Here is a 19,268-nt window from a genome sequence, read left to right as displayed (position 1 = left end):
TTTGGTAGAAATGGGGTCTCACCATGTTGCTCAGGCTGGTCTCAAACTCCTGGTCTCAAGCAATCCTCAGCCTCCCAAAGTGCTGGGATCACAGGTGTGAGCCACCACACCCAGCTATGCCATTTGGTTTTTACCTTATGGTGAATATTTTGTTTTACCAAGTGGAGGGATTTTGGTTTGTTTGCAATGTTGTCAAATTTATATACTTTCACTTTTAGATTCCAGCTTTTGAGTCATAGCTACAAAGATCTTCCCCATTCTAAGCATATACAGGAATTCTCCCTTGGCAAGTAACTCTGTAGGAAAGAAGGGATAGTGGGAGGAAGATATTCTCACTTATATAAATAAAAACTCATTTATAACTTTAGTTTTTACACGTAAATCATCAATCCATTTGGAATTTATCTTGGTCAACAATGTAAGATGTAGATACAACTTAATACTCTCCCTGAGTATAACCCTGTTTCCTGACCATTGATTTGATAGTCGATTGTTGGTTACCTGCTAGTTTTGCTTTGCATTTCAATTTGAATTTTCCAACAGCAAGATTAGTAATTTACTGCCCAGAGGATATTATTTCAAGTTAACCTCATTCTGTGTCCTGCCCTCAAAATGCCAAAAATATAAACAGTATTTCTCTTTCTGCAATGAATTCTGCCCTAAGTGAAAGAAAGGAGAGCCTAATTTCCCTGCTGAAGAACAGGAAATGTGTAGCCCAAGTAATAGACCAGCCTCCAAATCTCTAAGAGGCCCCAGGTCAGTACTGTGCTCTTTGGCTTCCAGATTAGTCAACTAAAGTTGCATGTTTCTTGTACCAAAAAGTCCTGGTTGTGAAGTTCTACTAAATTCTAAAATTAGTTGAACCAAGAAGTTGACTTGCAAGTAATAACACTTTCAATTTATTCTTTTTTTTTTTTCGAAACTGAGTCTCACTCTGTCGCCCAGGCTGGAGGGCAGTGACACGATCTTGGCTCACTGCAACCTCTGCCTCCCGGGTTCAAGCGATTCTCCTGCCTCAGCCTCCCAAGTAGCTGGGACTATAGGCGCTGCGCCACCACACCCGCGTCATTTTTGTATTTTTAGTAGAGACGGGGTTTCACCATGTTGGCCAGGCTGGTCTTGAACTCCTGACCTCAGGTGATCCACCCGCCTCAGCCTCCCAAAGTGCTGGGATTACAGGTGTGAGCCACCGCACCCGGCCTTCAATTTATTCTTGCACTGTATTTTTCTCCCACTCAATTACTTTGCCCCATCCAAAGGCAATGAAAGTGTATTTCAATGGGAGAGACGTATTATTAAACAAGGTTGTGATGACAGTACAAATATATTTTTCCATTGAATTTAATGGCCACAAGCAGAGTAACAAATGATGGCACATAAACGGGGTCAGATGCACAGACTGGAAAGGAACACAGGAAGAACATCAATCGTAAAGCCAGAGAGCCAAGTGGCTAATTTTCTCCAAAAGGTCTTTTTCACTTAACTTCCTCTTTTTCATTTAACCCCATTGTTGAGTCCCTCCTATCAGTCAAGCCCATGCTAACCCCTACTGAAGTGTAGGTGGATCTCATTTGGAAGAATTTTCAATTAATAAGCAGACAGCTAAAGGGAAATTATTTTATTTCAGTGGTATAGGATAGTGGAAATATACTGGAAGAAGAATTCAAAAATTCGGGTCCTGCTTTTTACTCATTGAACATGCCAGGAAAAGTCATTTAATTCTTTTTCAGATGAATTCCCTCATCTATAACATCAAGGAACATCTTTGTCCATCTACACTCACAGTTAAGGATTCAATGAGTTAATATGTACAAGAGGGCTTTTCAAAAATATACAAAAATACAATTCAGACTGTCAAGGTAGGGGAGAAACCCATAGGCTCTAAGTGAATGTCTTCATTTCACTATATGAAAACTGCCAGTCTGGGAGGGTCTGGGAGCCTCAGGCAGGGGCAGGATGGAATTAGAACTCTGAGCTCCTGATGTGGAACTCACTGCTCTTCCCAAGCTGCCATGTTAGAGGCCACTGGAAAGTTGGCAGTGAGGCAAGAGCATTGCTCAGACAGTCACCGGTGTGGCATGGCCCGGGCCACAGTTGGGCTCAGACCAGAGGTCCAGTCCACAGCTCTGTGTGCCACTGATGTAACCTAAGGCAAGATGGTCCCTCTCCTCCCTCTGGGCCCTGGTTTCCCTTTTTTTGTTGTTGTTGTTTTTTTTTGTTTTTTGAGATGGAGTCTTGCCCTGTCACCCAGGCTGGAGTATAGTGGTTATAATCTTGGCTCACTGCAACCTCCACCTCCCAGGTTCAAGCAATTCTCATGCCTTAGCCTCCCAAGTAGCTGGGATTACAGGTGTCTGCCATAACTCTTGGCTAATTTTTGTATTTTTAGTAGAGACAGGGTTTCACCATGTTAGCCAGGCTTGTCTTGAACTCCTGACCTCAGGTGATCCACCAACCTTGGCCTCCCAAAGTGCTGGGATTATAGGCATGAGTCACTGCGCGCAGCTCTGGTTTTTTATCAAACTTAAAGGGTTGGGAAAGATGGGCTCTATGTGCCTTTCAGGCAATATCCTAAAATATTATCTTAAGGCTAATTTGCAAACATACACACACTCACACATACACACACACTCCTATTACCACAGGGAACAGAACAGGTGTTTCTGATTATGTAAATTTCCAACCCCACCCTCATCTTCCATGACTTCTCATGCCTTTGGACCAAGTCAAATTCAAGTTTCTTGACACTGAAGACATTACAACTACTACCAAACCTCACTGCCCTGAGGCCATGCCACCATCTAACTGGACTCCCTGCTTCTAGCCTTGTCTCTGGCTGTTCTCCACAAGGCAGCTACAGGGAACTAAAAGCTAAAAGAGAAGTCAGATCACATTGCTCCTCTGTTCACAACCTTCTAACGGCTCCCCTCTCAGCCAAAGTCAAATTCTTTGTAAGGCCCTACATGACCTGCCCGCCATCTCTTCCAATTCTTGGACCTTTTCTTTTACTCCTCTCCCCATCGGGTCCAGTGATGAGTCTCTTGGCTATTCTTGCCACACCAGCACCTTCTTCAGGCCTCTGCACACACATGTGCCCCCATTACCTGAACAGTCTTCCCCAGTTATCAAATGTCACCTTCACAGCAGAGCTTTCACTGATCACTCACGACTTTTGTTGTTTTTAAGATAGGGTCTTGCTCTGTTCCCCAGATTAGAGCGCAATGGCACGTTCAGAGCTCCCTGCAGCCTTAAACTCTTGGGTTCAAGTAATCCTCCCACCTCAGCCTTCAGAGCAGCTGGGAACACTGGTGCATCATACCACCACACCCAGCTCTGATTACTCACTGCAATTTTATTTATTTATAAGACAGTCTTGCCCTGTCAGCCAGGAGTGCAGTGGCACAATCTTGGCTCACTGTGACCTCTGCCTCCTGACTTCAAGTTATTCTTGTGCCTCAGCCACCGAATAGCTGGGATTGCAGGCATGCACCACCACACCCAGGTAATTTTTTTGTATTTTTAGTAAAGACGGGGTTTAGCTCTATTGCCCAGGCTGGTCTTGAACTCTTGAGCTCAGAGTCATCAACTCACCTTGGCCTCCCAAAGTGCTGGGATTACAAGCGTGAACGACCGTGCCCGGCCTGATTACTCAATTCAAAATTACATCCCTACACACAACACACAGACCCCTTATCCCTTTTACTAGTTTATCATTTACCTCCGCAACACTTATATTTTCCTTGTTTATTGCCTGTCTCGCTTCACTGCAAAATTTGCTCCATGAGGGCAGGGATGGTCGGTTTTGTTTGCTGCTGTATCCCCAGTGCCTAGAACAGTATGTAGCATATAGTAGGTACTTGACAATTATTTGTTACTGGGCTGGGTGCAGATTACTCTCCTGTAATCCTAGCACTTTGGGAGATGGAAGCAGGAGGATCACTTGAGGTCAGAAGTTCAAGACGACCCTGGGCAACATGGTGAGACCCCCATCTCTACGAAAAAAATGTTTAAAAATAGCCAGACATGGGGTCCCACACCTGTAGTCCCAGATATTTGGGAAGCTGAGGTGGGATAATCACTTGAACCTGGAAGACTGAGGCTGCAGTGAGCCGTCATCATGCCACTGCACTCTAGCCTGGGTGACAGTATGAGACTCTATCTCAAAAAAATTATTTTTTTGACTAAATTCTGGTCACAAGGAAGTTGAATAACACAACTGAACTAGTTTACTTAGCTACCTGCCCAAAGGAAAGACAGTAAGAACTTGAGTAGGTTGGTGTGACACCACACTCTGGGGGCTGCTATGTGAAATCAGAGAGGGGTGTGTGCACGCACACACATGTTTAATGAAAGCAGGAAGAGAACCCAGACAGAAAAGGAAATATAATCATTCACCTAAGCTGAGAAGAGTTTATGGGCATCTATGAGCCATACAATTGCCATTAAGTGTGATAAAGGGCTTCCAGACCTGGCGTGGTGGCTCACACCTGTAATCCCAGCACTTTGGGAGGCCAAGGCAGGTGGATTACTTGAGGTCAGCAGTTTGTGACCAGCCTGGCCAACATGGTGAAACACTGTTTCTACTAAAACTACAAAAATTAGTCAGGCTTGGTGGCACCAGCTACTCGGGAGGCTGAGGCAAGAGAATTGCTTGAACCCGGGAGGCAGAGGATGCAGTGAGCCGAGATCGCGTCATTGCACTCCAGCCTGGGTGACAAAGCGAGACTCTACCTCAAAAAAAAAAAAAAAAAAAAAAAGCGGGGGGGAGCTTCCAGCTGTCAGGAAAGTTCAGGGCTATATCCCCGAATGGAGGAACACTTGTTGATTTCAGTGAACCTGGAATCAATATAAGAATTAGAATAAACACAGATATTGAGGAAGATAAAGTAGGCAAGATTAAATATTTACCTTGTGCTCACAATAAATGCATTAGTAGAGCACAGAAGTTGGGGAGACACTAGGTATTTTGCTGTGTACACATGGATTACAGACTGCAAGCAATTATTGTCTCTCTTCTGTTAACTCCACTGGACTCTTTATCCCTGGTGTCAGGGTTGCTATCAGTTTCACAACTGTGTTTGCCTAGCTCATGGCAGGACATGCAGTTGAATTTGCTCTGACCACAAATATGAAGTTCCTGAGAAAGGAACAATGGGAGTCCAGTGAACTCACATTGAAGTTCCTGAGAAATGAACAATGGGAGGGCATATGGGAGTCTTTAATGAGTAGGTGTCTTCCTGGGATGGTGTAATTGGTCACTGCTGCACAGGCCCCGCACCCATGTGCATCATGAGGAAAAGCATATCAAACACTCCTAAACAACCCAATAGGAAGCTACCCTTCCTTCAACACACGCGCACACGGCACCTATGGTCACAGCCAGGTCACTGTGGGAATAGTTTTTGTATTGCTCGGGGTCTGCTTTGGAAAAAGCTATGTCTGGCCAGGTGTGGTGGCTCATGCCTTTAACCCCAGCACTTTGGGAGGCCGAGGAGGGTGGATCACTTGAGGTCAGGAGTTCAAGACCAGCCTGGCTAACATGGTGAAACCCCGCCTCCACTAAAAATACAAAAATTAGCCGGGCTTGGTGGCGGGTGCCTGTAATCCCAGCTACTTGGGAGGCTGGGGCAGAAGAATCACTTGAACCTGGGAGGTGGAGGTTGCAGTGAGCTGAGATCATGCCATTGCACTCTGCACTCCAGCCTGGGCGACAGAGTGAGACTCCGTCTCAGAAAAAAAGAAAAAAGAAAAAACTGTCATGCACACCCCCTTTCTCACCATTAGGCCCACCTTCCTCTTTGGCCTCTTCCATCTCCTCTCCTCCCTCTCAGACCCCCGTCATATTCCTCTCTCACTTCTAATTCTCTCTCAATTTCCAGTAATGATCAAAGCATGTGACACCTTTGAGTTGGAAAACATTAATTAAAAGAGAGACAAGAGAGAGAGAGACGAGAGGGAGGGGGGATGGGACAGAGGGAGGGCAAGAGAGGGAACGGGGAAGAAGAAAGGAAACTATTTCCTCTGGGTGTCTTCCATTTCTGGAGTCTGAGCAAGTTAGTATTCATTCAGTTAATTAATTTACTTGAATCCAAGCTTATCTAAAAAGAAGATTTAACTAAAATATACATAAAATATACTAAGGCGCCTTTCGGCGGGAACCGCCATCTTCCAGTAATTCGCCAAAATGACCAACACAAAGGGAAAGAGGAGAGGCATCCGATATATGTTCTCTAGTCCTTTTAGAAAACATGGAGTCGTTCCTTTGGCCACATATATGTGAATCTATAAGAAAGGTGATATTGTAGACATCAAGGGAATGGGTACTGTTCAAAAAGGAACGCCCCACAAGTGTTACCACGGCTAAACTGGAAGAGTCTGCCGTGTCCCCCAGCATGCTGTTGGCATTGTTGTAAACAAACAGTTAAGGGCAAGATTCTTGCCAAGAGAATTAATGTGTGTATTGAGCACATTGAGCACTCTAAGAGCCAAGATAGCTTCCTGAAACATGTGAAGAAAAATGATCAGAAAAACAAAGAAGCCAAAGAGAAAGCTACCTGGGTTCAACTGAAGCACCAGCCTGCTCCACCCAGAGAAGCACACTTTGTGAGAACCAATGGGAAGGAGCCTGAGCTGCTGGAACCTCTTCCCTATGAATTCATGGCATAAGAGGTGTTAAAAATAATAATAAATAAAGGACCTCTGGGCTGTAAAAAATAAATAAACAAATAAATAATAAAATAAAACATACTAAGGCAACAAAAGCCAGAGGAAAGATGAAACAAAGGAACAAAAGTGTTAAAGCAAACTAAATATGGCCCAAGGACACCGTACTTCTGTATTTGAGTCCTTGTGAATGAACTGTAACCTAGCTTAACAGACAAAATTGAAAACCTAACTTAGGAGTCTGAGCCTGTAACAATAGCTATGTCTTGGCCAATCCAAGTATGACAAGAAGTGGCCATACTTCAACCATTCATACACTGCTGAGGGTTCAAACTGTGTTCGAATAAAGCATACGCCGAACTGTAATCAATCCAGCCATTCTGTACCTCACTTCCAATTTCTGTATGCCATTTCTCTTTGTCAATAAATCTTCCACCACGTGGAAGCCCTGGGGTCTCTGTGAATCTCCTGTGATTCTGGGGGCTGCTCGATTCGCACATTTTTCATTGATCAATTCAACTCCTTTAAATTTAATTCGGCTGAAGTTTTCATCAATATGGACAGAATACAAAACGGAATAAAAAACGTGGCTAATACAAAAACACATACCAAGAAGTCTTATTCCCTTAACCCATGTATGCCTGGTGTTCCATTATTGGAACACTAAGCATGTGGGAGTTGTTTATATCCTACTGCTCCAGGTCACCACCAAGGTCTGATTTTTCACACGTCTGCAATTCAAAAAATCGCAACCTCCAGCCTAAATGGGTTAAGAAATTGGGCCACAAACTCAACTCTAAATTTTCTAGCTTCAAACTATGAGTAACGTAACTCTGAGGGTCTGATTCAAAAGAAAAAAAAAAAACTGAAACACATACGTGACCTGAAAGAAAGTTTTTTTTTTTAAATAAAATGAACGATTATCTCAACAATCAATGTCTTTAGAATGGGTAATCACAGAAATTCTTAGAAGATTCCTCAAGGAAAACCATAGGCGTATCTCCATAGAGCCTCTTATTTTGAGACAGAGTCTTGCTCTGTTGCCCAGGGAGGAGTACAGTGGCATGATGATCGTAACTCACTGCAGCTTCAACTTTCTGGGCTCAAACGATCCTCCTGCCTCAGCCTCTGGAAAGTTGGGTCTTCAGGCACATGCCACCAGGCCTGGCTAATTTTTTATTTTCTATAGAGATAGGGTCTCACTTTATTGTCCAGGCTGGGCTTTAACTCCTGAGCTCAAGCGATCTTCCCACCTCGGCCACCCAAAGTGCTAGGATTACAGGCAAGAGCCACCACATCTTGTCAGAGCCATTTATTGTCAGCAGTTCTAGTAGGTCCAGGCCTCAGACATCTGCTGCTCTGGTACATCCTATGCAAACTTGCAAATCATAGGCAACGTTTGTTTAGCTGGGACTGTGTTTGTGATTGCCACTGCTGTTATTTTAAAGTCAATGCACTTAAGAGGGGAATGCATGCTTCCGTTTTCCTCCTCTATTGTTTTTAATACTGTGGCTTCATACATTAATGTTGCATAACTGGGCCCTAAAGGCATTGCCCTGGAGACCCCAGCCATTCATCTGTTTATTCAATGGATAATTCTGAGCACCTTTTATTGCACTCTTCTACATAAACAAACAACATGTCCTACTTCACGAGCTTAAATTCTAGGGGAATGAAACTGGCAATATATAAGTAAAATTATATGGTATATCAGATGGGTAAGTGTTACAGAAAATAAAGCAAGAAAAGGCAAGAGAGTGCTAGAGGAAGGAAATTTTTATGGAGTCAGGAAAGTCCTCACTGAGAAGGTCACGTTTGAGTAATGACCTGAAAGTTCAGGGAACTGTAGATATCTGAAGAAACAGCAAGAACAGAGGCACTGGGGTAGGGAGTGGTTTGGCTTGCTGGGAAGTTAACTTCCCCAGAGCAAAAAGCAAGGAGGAGTGGAGAAGTGCTAAGAAAAAGAGGAAATGGTAGAGGGGGCAAGACAGATCACATGGACCCTGGTAGGGTCACTGTAGGAACTTCAGAGTGTAACCAAGCACCCCCACTTTTTTTTTTTTTTTTTTTTTTCTGAGATGGAGTTTTGCTCCTGTTGCCCAGGCTGGAGTGCAATGGCATGATCTCGGCTCACTGCAACCTCTGCCTCCTGGGTTCAAGCGATTCTCCCGCCTCAGCCTCCCAAGTAGCTGGGATTACAGGCACCCACCACCATGCCCGGCTTATTTTTGTATCATTAGTAGAGACAGGGTTTTACCACGTTGGCCAGGCTGGTTTTGAACTCCTGACCTCAGGTGATCCGCCTGCCTTGGCCTCCCAAAGTGCTGGGATTATAGGCGTTAGCCACTACGCCCCGTCTCCAAGTAGCCCCATTTTTCTAGAGTGGTTAAACCAAAACAAATTCTAAGGCTCCCCTGCTCCAAACATTTGAATGGACCCTTCCTCTCAACCAAGGGCATTCTAGAGTTAACCTGGAAATCTAGTTCAGGCCACGATGGAAGAGGGGGGCAGGATATGCCTCATTATACCCCTCCAGCATTAACACCAATAGGGACCTTAAGTCTGATAAGAAACATTTACAGTCCATTGTAAGCCTGCTACTTGGAGGCTCATCTACATAAAACCTAGGGCTTCACAATCCCTCAGCAGAACCCAGACATTCCTTTCTACTGATAACTCTTTCAACCAATTGCCAATCAGAAAAAATTTAAATCTACCTATGACCCTTTCAGATCCAGCCAATGTAGATCTTACACATATTGACTGATACATTATGTCTCCCTAAAATGTATAAAAGTAAGCTGTATTCTGACCACCTTGGGCACCGGTCATCAGAATCTCCTGAGGCTGTCACAGTGCGTCCTTAACCTTGGCAAAGTAAACATTCTAAATTGAGATCTGTCTCAGATACTTCACAATGGTTCACAACGATTTAATTACTTCCTCCACACCCACCCCCACCCCACCACCCCCCCACCCATCCCCACCCCACACCTTCCCTCTTGTTTCTGTGGCTCCCTGTTTCCTAATTAGCCCTTCAGAAGTACAAATATAACCTTTCACCTCCTGTCTCACCAGACATTCCCTACATGGCAAATTCTTCTAACTTTATGCCCCAAGACAGATCTTTCCTAGAGAGCTGACGGTAGATTTGCAAACCAAAGCATGCTCCCCAGGTAACTTCCACCCTCCAGGCAGGCGTTTGAAAGCGTATGGGCAGTGGCCACTTTTACAACTTACTTCTGCCTAGGAAAGCGCCAACTGCCCCATGGCTAAAACAGCAAGCTAGCAGGGAACCCCCGCCCTTGCTCATTTCTTCCCTTACCTTATAAAAATGCCTGTTTTCTGCTCCACAAGTAAAGCCACACAGCAGGACATCTGTACATCTTCCCCAAGCTATAATAGCTTCAGAATCAATTCACTTGCTTTGTATCAGGCCTCGTTCTTGTTAATTGGACTCGGCATGTGAACAACTAACCCACCTTTCAGTTATGATGTTGGTGGCCTGTACGGGGAAGCACTGTGCGCTACGGGTAGGCCTGTGCCTGAGCTACTGGGCAAGGTATGAGGTTGCCTGGGAGTAGCAGCTGCTGGTGGCTAGCGAACCCCAAGATGGGAACATTAGGGAATTTCCCAGCGGCTGCCAAAAATGCTTTTGTTTTGGAGGCACCTCCCTATTGCCTCCCTGCATGATGTTTGCTGCCTTCAACACTTTGCTGATACAAAGCAAGTGAACTCAAAAAAAGAAAAACAGAAACCCAGTAAACTTCAGAACTAAGTTGGTCAGGAGTACCCCTGACTACCCTCTGCCTCTTTTGAGGTGTCACTGAAGCCCTGCCGTGCATAGGACCTGGCTGCTAGTGGTATCATTTGAGCATTTTTGTTTGTATGTACAGAGTAAGGGTTAAAGAAAGGAGACAAACACAAAAAGTGGCTCAACAGTCAAAGACAGGTTTATTTTGGAGAATAAACCGGAGAGGGGCTTCTGGCCAATTTAGGTCAGGAGTGTTCTCTCTTACAGACTAAGGGTATTTAAGGGTTTAGGGAGGGAGAGCTTGTCTTAGGTTCAGAATGGTTCTGGGCAGAGGAAAGTTTTATTGCAGAGTTGGCATGTTTCTGGTCGGAGGGGGGTTTATCTAGGGGTTGGAATGTTTCCAGTCGGAGGTACCATTTGTGGTTTATGGTCATGCTGGCATTAGCCATTAGGTTGACTTCTGGGGGCTGGATTTAGGTGGTTTTTAATCAAGGGGAACTTAAAATGGCGGTGTTTGTCCAAGATGGTGATGCTCCTGCTCTGTCCTGTAACACCATAGCAGCTCTGCTCAGATGGGACTCAGATGTCCATGGAGCCATTTCGGAACTGGGGTGGAGGATTCAGGCTCTCACCCAGCCTCCACCAGGGATTTTGTTTGGAAGTGCACCATTTGTTTGTGTGAACGTATGGCTTTGTGTATGGGCCCCGATTTCTTTTCCTTTCTGTCTCCAACTTCACCCTTGTAATTACTGTCATTCGAGAAAAATGAGACAAGTCTCAATCATTTCAGGAGATTTGCCGAAGTTTAGGACACGGGCCTGTGACACAGCCTCAGGAAGTCCTGACAACATGTGCCCAAGATGGTCGGGGCACAGCTTGGTTTTATGCATTTTAGGGAGACGTGAGACATCAATCAAGAAGTACATGTAAGAAGTACACTGGTTCCATCCAGAAAGGCAGGGAGGGGGCTTCCAGGTCTCAGGTACCTGTGACAAATGGCTGCATTTTTTGAGTTTCTGATTAGCCATTCCAAAGGAGGCAATCAGAATATGCACCTCTCTCAGTGAGCAGAGGGATGACTTCAAATAGAATGAAAGACAGACTTGCCTGAAGCAGTTCCCAGCTTGAAAGGGCCCAAGATATTTTCCGTTCACACTATCAGCTTTACTTACACTAACAGCCACTTACAGCTTTACTCCTCTCGGCAGCAGGCACCCCTAGCTCCCTCTGGCTGGAAAAAATTCACCTTTACTGGTGGCTTGCAGAGGTGAGAGGAACCCATTCCACACCACGGAGACCTGGGGTGCTGAGGCTCATCCCAGGCAAAAGTCTAGCCCATACGCAACGCCACCTCCTGAATGAGACACAGCTATTACTATTTAAGCTGATCCATTCTCAAAAATTGGACAGGGCTATGACCACCTTCATGAGTATTCATAGCTCCTTCTGTAGCCCGTTAAACATATATACTTAGCCAACCTGACATGATATCTGGTTATGATTGTCAGTGGGGAACTTGCATGATAACTAAGAATTTGGGAAATGCCTCTAATAGCCCTGAAAGACATGTACAAACAACTTAAAGTTATGTCTGACCCTACATTGTCACTAGACCAATGGTTAGCAACCTGATTCAGGACAGGACCATTCTGGTGGCAAAGCTACTTTTAACAGTGGCCCCAATTGCAGGGATGGGCATATCCCTCCATTGTGGAGCTTACTGCTGTTGTATCCTCTATACGGGAAAACAAGGCAAGCTCTTTCAGAGACCTAGACAAGCAGTCTGCAACCTTTGTGGAACCAGGGACCAGTTTCATGGAAGACAATTTTTCCACAGGATGGGGTGAAGGGGAGGGAAGGATGGTTTTGAGTTGAAACTGTTCCACCTCAGATCAGGCATTAGATTCTCACAAGGAATGGACAGCCTCATTCCCTTGGTTGTGTAGTTCACAACAGGTTTTGCGCTCCTATGAGACTCTAATGTTGCAGCTGATCTGACAGGAAGCACAGCCCAGGCGGTAATGCTCTCTAGCCTGCTGCTCACCTCCTGCTGTGCGGCCTGGTTTCCAACAGCTCAGGGACTGGTACTGATCTGCGACCCGAGGGCTGGGGACCCCTGTTCTAAACCTCACACCATAATGCTCCAACCAGTATCATCTGTAAGTCCACGTACTTGTGAATATTCCCAACTCCAAGTAGATCAGTTCCATTCTGAGGTCCAATGACTACACCCACCTTTCAGCAGAAAGCAGCCAGAATGAATATGGCACCTAGATCCCATAGAAATGGGAGCGAACTTGGGGTTAGGGAACGGTAACCAAGTACCCCAATTTATCTAAGAGGTGGGTTTTTTTCTGTCTTCTTTACCGTCCCTGGCTCCCCATCTCCTACCTAGCCCTTCAGAAGTGCAAATATAACCTTTCACCTTCCGCCTCACCAAACATTCCCTACAGAGCAAGTTCTTCTAACCTTGTGCTCCAAAACAGATCTCTCCTTGAGAGCTGACAGTCAATGGGCAGACCACCAAGGCATACCTGCCACGGAACTTTCACCTCTAGGACGTGGCCTCAGAACTTTCACCTTCTGGGGATGGCCTCAGAACTTCCACTCTATAGGGGTTGCCCTGGAACTTTCATCCACCAGGAGGGCATGTCGAAAGCATGCCTGTTTGGAATCTTTTACAAGTTACTTTTGCTCAGAAAGGCGCCATGACCGGTGCCTGAGGACACAGCCACCCCTCCCCTAGCCCTCTCTAAAATATAAGCAAAGGCATGAAGAGTGTTGCAATGAACATAAGAAAAATAAGTAAAACCTGGACAGGGCATCCCCTGAGCAGGGCTACAGCAACTGTTGGCCGGAAAACATTCAAGCAGCAGGTGCAGAACTATCACCCCATTCCTTTTCAGCTGTGCACCGAACACACAGCTCTGAGCACAGACACTTCCTCGTGAGCCCTCCAAGATAAATTAGCTGCAAGGCTAGTTCCAGAAAGTAGCTAAACCAATGACTGCCTTCCTGGGATTATCATAATCCGCTGAAAAAACGGTTAAGAGCCAGGGGATCCTGGAGAACAATAGCCCTTTCTTCGGGCCCTAAAGTGAGTGTTTCCACGTCCCAGCAGTTAGGGCACCTCTACAAGCAGTGCCCAACAGGTGGCCCAAGTCTCTAAGAAGAACTTGCACAGAATGGAAGAGGGCCCCAGGCACCCCAGCGCTGCCACCCACTGGGTGGGTAACCCGGGGCAAGTCATTCCTCTGTGAGCCACAGTTACTCATCTCTCAATTGAGGGTTTTGTTTTGTTTTTGAGAGAGTCTCACTGCGTTGCCCAGGCTGGAATGCAATGGCATGAGAGACAACCTCATTACAACCTCCGCCTCCCAGGTTCAAGCAATTCTCTTGCCTCAGCCTCCCAAGTAGCTGGGATTACAGGCACGTGCCACCACACCCGGCTAATTTTTTGTATTTTTAGTAGAGACGGGGTTTCACCATGTTGGCCAGCCTGGTCTCGAACTCCTTACCTCAGGTGATCCACCCACGTTGGCCACCAAAAGTGCTGGGATTACAGGCGTGAGCCACCGTGCCCGGCCTTCAGTTGAGGGTTTTATGAGGAGTCAATGAAATTATTAAGTGAGGAACACAGTGCAGTTTATAATGGGGACTCACTCAATTCGTGTTGGTTGCCTTTGCCCTGCTCCATATGAGTTGACCAAGGACCCATGTGGGCACCCCACTGTCTCTCCAGCACACTTGACTGCTGTGCTTTCTGACTTGCCTGTCAGTCCAAAGGTACTGCCTGAGGAAGTCCAAAACGTCTCTGTCCGTGAACAAGGCCAGTGAAACCTATTCCATGGCTCCATTCATTTGTTTCTAAGGAAGGTCAACTGCATCCCTGCCCCCCACACCCCTCAGTGCCCTGCCCTCACCCAAATATACCCCCAACCAAGGAGAAGGCCCTGATGAGCCTCCATAGCAGGAAGGGGCAGAAAGCTCCAGAAAGAGGCCCAGGCCTGGCTGAGCGCCCATGAGGAGGACACAGGTGCCTGGAAACTTGGTAAAAGTTCGAATTTCTCTCTCCACCAAATAAAGAAAGCGCATGGTTTCCCAAGAGTGCTCCATGTTTCAAGAAAAATAAAGAGGAAATTCCTTTGTGGAAGAGAACAGTAGTCCTGGGTGTTTAATATGCAGGCAATTCCTCTGGGTTTAAAGAATGTGACTTGCCCAAGGTCTCCGTCTAGTTTAGGAGAGCTAGGAATTAGGTCACCTTTCCCTGTACAAAGAGGATTTTGACACGCTGCTGTGGGGGACCTTTGCCGACTCCCCCACTCTCTCCCAGCCACCTCCCAGGGCTGTGAAAGCTGGAAAGAGGCTGGGGAACCAACTGGCAGAGACCAGAGAGCCACAGAGAGAAACTGAGTCACACCAAAGACAAAGCCAAGAAGGATCTAGAAAGTCAGGCTATTGCCCAGGCACAGTGGCTCATGCCTGTTATCCCAGCACTTTGGGAGGCCGAGGAGGGAGGATACTTGAGGCCAGGAATTTGAGATCAGCCTGGGCAACAGAGCAAGACCCTGTCTGTATTTAGAAAAAAAAAAAAAAAAGAAAAATTTTTAAGTCAAGCCACTGACATCTGTGGAGCCACCTAGGGCCCAGACGTCTCCTCAGCGTTCCCTCATAATGATCCTGCATTGCTTGAAATAACTTGACTCTAGTCCTTCCACCCAAGGAAGTCCTGGTGCCACAGTTCACCCTCTCAGTTCCAGTTTCTGTCTGGAACAGCAGGCCACCTGACTTCCTCTGCCTGTGTGGGATGAATACCCCACCCAGTTCTTGGCCTCCTGACTTCTCCTTTCTCACTCATTATGCCCCATAGGTGTTCTGCTGAGTCATTACCTTAGATATCAGCAGCACAACGGCTGAGAGGTCTTTGGGGTCACCTTTACCGAACTTCGGGGCGTCCAGAGTCTCCTCCCATGCACGTTTGGGTAAGGTACTTGACTCTCCTCTGTGGGTGTCTCAACACTCAGTTTTTATCAGTTTCAATTCTAGACACTGCACTTTTCCAGACCTCAAACCCAAGTTCAGCTGCATCTCATCTCACCCCAGCTCCACAGCCACTGACAGCGTCTCCAGTGGCCCCAGCATCCTCCCCCTTCAGCCTTATACCCTCAGAATTTCAGAGTCAGGAGGAAGCATACGTGTCATTGAATCCTCACAACGCTCAAATCCCCTCTGCCATCATTAGTGGAGTCTGTCCTTTCTGACTAGACAGGCAGTGCAGCTCCCGCAGCCCGAGGGAGACCCCACCACAGCTCCCAGGCACCGAAGTGAGTCCTGCTTACCTTCCTGTCCTGCCCTTGGAACCGCACAGTTGGTCCCCTCCCTCTTCCTCGGCGCAGCCCCTCCAGGGTTAAGGCACTTGGGCAGAGCTCCTCTGTTCTTTCCTGTCTCTTCCGGGCTAACCATGTCCAGTTCCTCTCATCTCTGCTCAGACGCGTCCGTGTTCAATCCCCTCACTAACCTACTCACTCCTCTCTAATCATGTGCTAGGCTCACAGTGCTTCTCAGGCTTTAACATGCCTCCAAATCACCTGGGCTCTCATCAGTTCTCACTTTTGGATTCCGTAGGTCTGCGGTGGGGCCTGGCAGTCAGTTTCTGACAGCTCCCAGGTGAGGCGGGTGCTGCAGGTCTGCCACTGTGAGCAGCAAAGCTTCCACTTGGGATCGCCCTTTGACCTGGAATCTTCTGGAGCTTGTTAGAAGTCCCAGCCCAGACCACCTGCATCAGATTCTGCAGTTCAACAAGATCCACAGATGCACCGTATACTCTTTAATGTATGAACAACTAGAACAGATGTTGGCAACCACGGCTGCACATTAGAATCACCTGGGAGATTGGAAAACCATCCCAATGCCCAGCAGCACCCCAGACCAATTACATCAGCAAGTATGGTCTAGGCATCAGCATCATTATAAAGCTCCTCAGGTGATTCCAGTGCACAACCAGGGCTGAGAGCTCTGCTGCAGAGCCCTAACATGCAGGCTCTACCTTTGAGACCACGGTCTTAGAAAGACAGGACATGGTCTACTCCCTCAAGCTTCTCCAGTCATAGCCTTAAGTCCCAACAGCTCTGGGCAGCTATCCGCATTTCCGGCTTTTTTGAGGCATTACTGAATAGCAGTTAGGAGCTCTATTCTTGAGTCAGGTAGACCTGGATCTGAGTCTTAATTCCAGCATTTATTAACTGTGTGATCTCAGAAAATTTCCCGAATTTCTCTGTGCCTCAGTTCCGTCATGTGTAAAATGGAGCAAAGATATAGTAACATCTCTTAAAGTTACTGAAAGGGTTGAATCAAATGAGGAAAACATATACAGTGTGTAGAACAGTGTTACAGCCCTGCCTGCCTAGGGCTCATTGATGGTTAGTTGCTGTTATGTTTTTACTGTCATTATTATTATTACTTTTGAGACAGAATCTCACTGCGTCACTCAGGCCGGAGTGTAGTGACACGATCTCGGCTCACTAAAACCTCCGCCTCCTGGGTTCAAATGATTCTGCTGCTTCGGCCTCCCGAGTAGCTGGGACTACAGGCATGCACCACCACGCCTGGCTAATTTTTGTATTTTTAATAGAGACGGGGTTTCACCATGTTAGCCAGGCTGGTCTCGAACCCCTGACCTCAGGTGATCCACACCTCAGCCTCCTAAAGTGCTGGGATTACAGGTGTGAGCCACCGCACCCAGCCAGTTGCTGTTTATTTATATTAATGTTAAAACCCCTGTGCCTGTGTGTGATCTATTTGTGCTGCCGCTAAGCCACATTGGCTCATTGTATCAGTTGAGGTTTCCCTTTGCAAGGCTCATGTTTAACCAATTCTGGCTAACGAAGGCAGAAAAGAAGTGTATCACGTGACTGTACCCAAACCTAAGGACAGGGATGAGGCCAGCTCCAAGTATCTCAGCTAGAAAATTACAAGTGTGGCTGGGCACGGTGGCTCACAGCTATAATCCCAGCCCTTTTGGAGCCCAAGGCGGCTGGATCCCCAGGTGCTCTCAGCCCTGGTTGCGCACTGGAATCAGCTGGGGAGCTTTACGATGATGCTGATGCCTAGACCATACTTGCTGATGTAATTGATCTGGGGTGCTGCTGGGCACTGGGAGGGTTTTCCAGTGTCTCAGGTGATTCTAATGTGCGGCTGTGGTTGCCAACCTCTGCTCTAGTTTTTCAAACATTAAAGAGTATACAGTGCACCTGTGGATCTTGTTGAACTGCAGAATTTGATGCAGGAGGTCTGGGCTAGGGCTTCTAACAATCTCCAGGAGAGTCCAGGCAGCAGGACTGGGAGGTCTGGAGTTCGAGACCAGCCTGGCCAACACGGCAAAACCCCATCTCTACTAAAAATACAAAACTTAGCTGGGCATGGTGGCGGGCACCTGTAATCCCCGCTACTTGGGAGGCTGAGGCAGGAGAATCACTTGAGCCCAGGAGGTGGAGGTTGCAGTGTGCCGAGATCATGCTATTGCACTCCAGCCTGGATGACAAAAGTGAAACTCTGTTTCAAAAAAAAGAAAGGGAGGGAAGGAAGGAAGGAGGAAGGGAGGGAGGGAAGGGAAGGAGGGAGGGAGGGAGGGAGGAAGGGAAGGAAGGAAGGAAAGAAGGAAGGAAGGAGGGAAAGATTTCAAGTGCTATCCTGAGAATGATTCCATCTCAACAGTTTCCTTAGGCCATTTAATTCAGTTCAAATTTCCAAGCCAAAGTATTTGCCCCTTAGTGGGAGGTAAGGAGTCCTTTCAATAACATTTCCACCAGAACCACACAGAACCGGGGCTTGTTCTTCAAGAGAAGCCAGAGGCTGTCACCCTAGTAAAAGAAGGCACAGGCTGGCCAGGCAGCAGGAGACATCCACTTCAACCCAGTTATATTTTGAACCCAAAGGCACAACCACGTCTTTATCTTTATTACATTTTTAAATGGATGTTGAGTGTTTATTTTCCTCCAGGTTATTGGTAGAGAGTGTTTTAATATTTTTATCACTCCAAAAAGAAACCTTGTCCGCATTAGCAGTCACTTATCATTCCACCTTCACCCCAGTTTCTGGAAACCACCAAGCCACTTTCTGTGTTTATAGATTGGCCTGTTCTGAACATTTTATAATGCATGAAATTTTACCCTATGTGGTCTTTTGTGACTGGCTTCCTTCACTTCAGATATATTTCCAGGCTGGTCGTGGTGTCTCACACCTATAATCACAGTACTTTGTGAGACCGAGGTGGGTAGATCGTTTGAGCCCAGGAGTTTGAGAACAGCCTGGGCAACATGGCGAAACCCCATCTCTACTAAAAATACAAAAATCAGTCAGGCATGGTGGTGAGCACCTGCATTCCCAGCTGTTTTGGGGGCTGAGGCACGAGGATCACCTGAACCTTGGGAGATCCAGGCTGCAGTGAGCCGTGATCAGGCCGCTGCACTCCAGCCTGGGCAACAGAGTGAGATACTGTCTCAAAACATTTAATTTTAAAAAAAAAGAATCTTTCCAAGGGTCATCCATGATGTAGCATGGATCACAATTCCATTCCTTTTTACGGCTGAATAATATTACATTGTATTATGTGCCACATTTTATTTATCCATTCATCAGTTGATGAATATTTGTGTTGTTCCCACCTTTTGTCTACTATGAAAATGCTTCTATGAATATTCTTTTTTTTTTTTTAGATTTCCTCAAATTCCTTTTTGTCATGTTATGAATATTCTTGTACAGGTCTTTGTGTGGACCTAGGTTTTCAGTTCTTTGGTGTACACACTTAGCAGTAAAACTGCTGGGTCATATGGGAACTCTATACTCAACATTT

The 19,268-nt window shown here is 46.4% G+C and overlaps 1 pseudogene, besides 4 other annotated features; it reads left to right on the top strand.

Annotated features, from left to right (window-relative positions):
- Positions 6,145–6,706, top strand: RPL21P117 (ribosomal protein L21 pseudogene 117; annotated as a pseudogene).
- Positions 9,076–9,846: an enhancer, noted in NCBI's record as "NANOG-H3K27ac hESC enhancer chr15:59841631-59842401 (GRCh37/hg19 assembly coordinates)". NCBI's record gives its function as "activates a minimal SCP1, AML or CMV promoter by ChIP-STARR-seq in naive H9 embryonic stem cells {active_cell/tissue: H9 hESC(naive)}" and the evidence as "EXISTENCE:reporter gene assay evidence [ECO:0000049][PMID:30033119]".
- Positions 9,847–10,617: an enhancer, noted in NCBI's record as "NANOG-H3K27ac hESC enhancer chr15:59840860-59841630 (GRCh37/hg19 assembly coordinates)". NCBI's record gives its function as "activates a minimal SCP1, AML or CMV promoter by ChIP-STARR-seq in naive H9 embryonic stem cells {active_cell/tissue: H9 hESC(naive)}" and the evidence as "EXISTENCE:reporter gene assay evidence [ECO:0000049][PMID:30033119]".
- Positions 14,875–16,074: an enhancer, noted in NCBI's record as "MED14-independent group 3 enhancer chr15:59835403-59836602 (GRCh37/hg19 assembly coordinates)". NCBI's record gives its function as "activates an origin of replication core promoter dependent on BRD2, BRD4, P300/CBP and CDK7 cofactors, and independent of MED14, by STARR-seq in HCT116 cells {active_cell/tissue: HCT116}" and the evidence as "EXISTENCE:reporter gene assay evidence [ECO:0000049][PMID:35650434]".
- Positions 15,188–15,347: an enhancer, noted in NCBI's record as "active region_9498". NCBI's record gives its function as "activates an Ori minimal core promoter by ATAC-STARR-seq in GM12878 lymphoblastoid cells {active_cell/tissue: GM12878}" and the evidence as "EXISTENCE:reporter gene assay evidence [ECO:0000049][PMID:35858748]".

Source organism: Homo sapiens, chromosome 15, assembly GCF_000001405.40.
Source record: "Homo sapiens chromosome 15, GRCh38.p14 Primary Assembly".
NCBI classification, from domain to species: Eukaryota; Metazoa; Chordata; class Mammalia; order Primates; family Hominidae; genus Homo; species Homo sapiens.
Note: the sequence above shows the minus strand (reverse complement) of the source record. Positions and strands in the feature narration are given on the sequence as shown.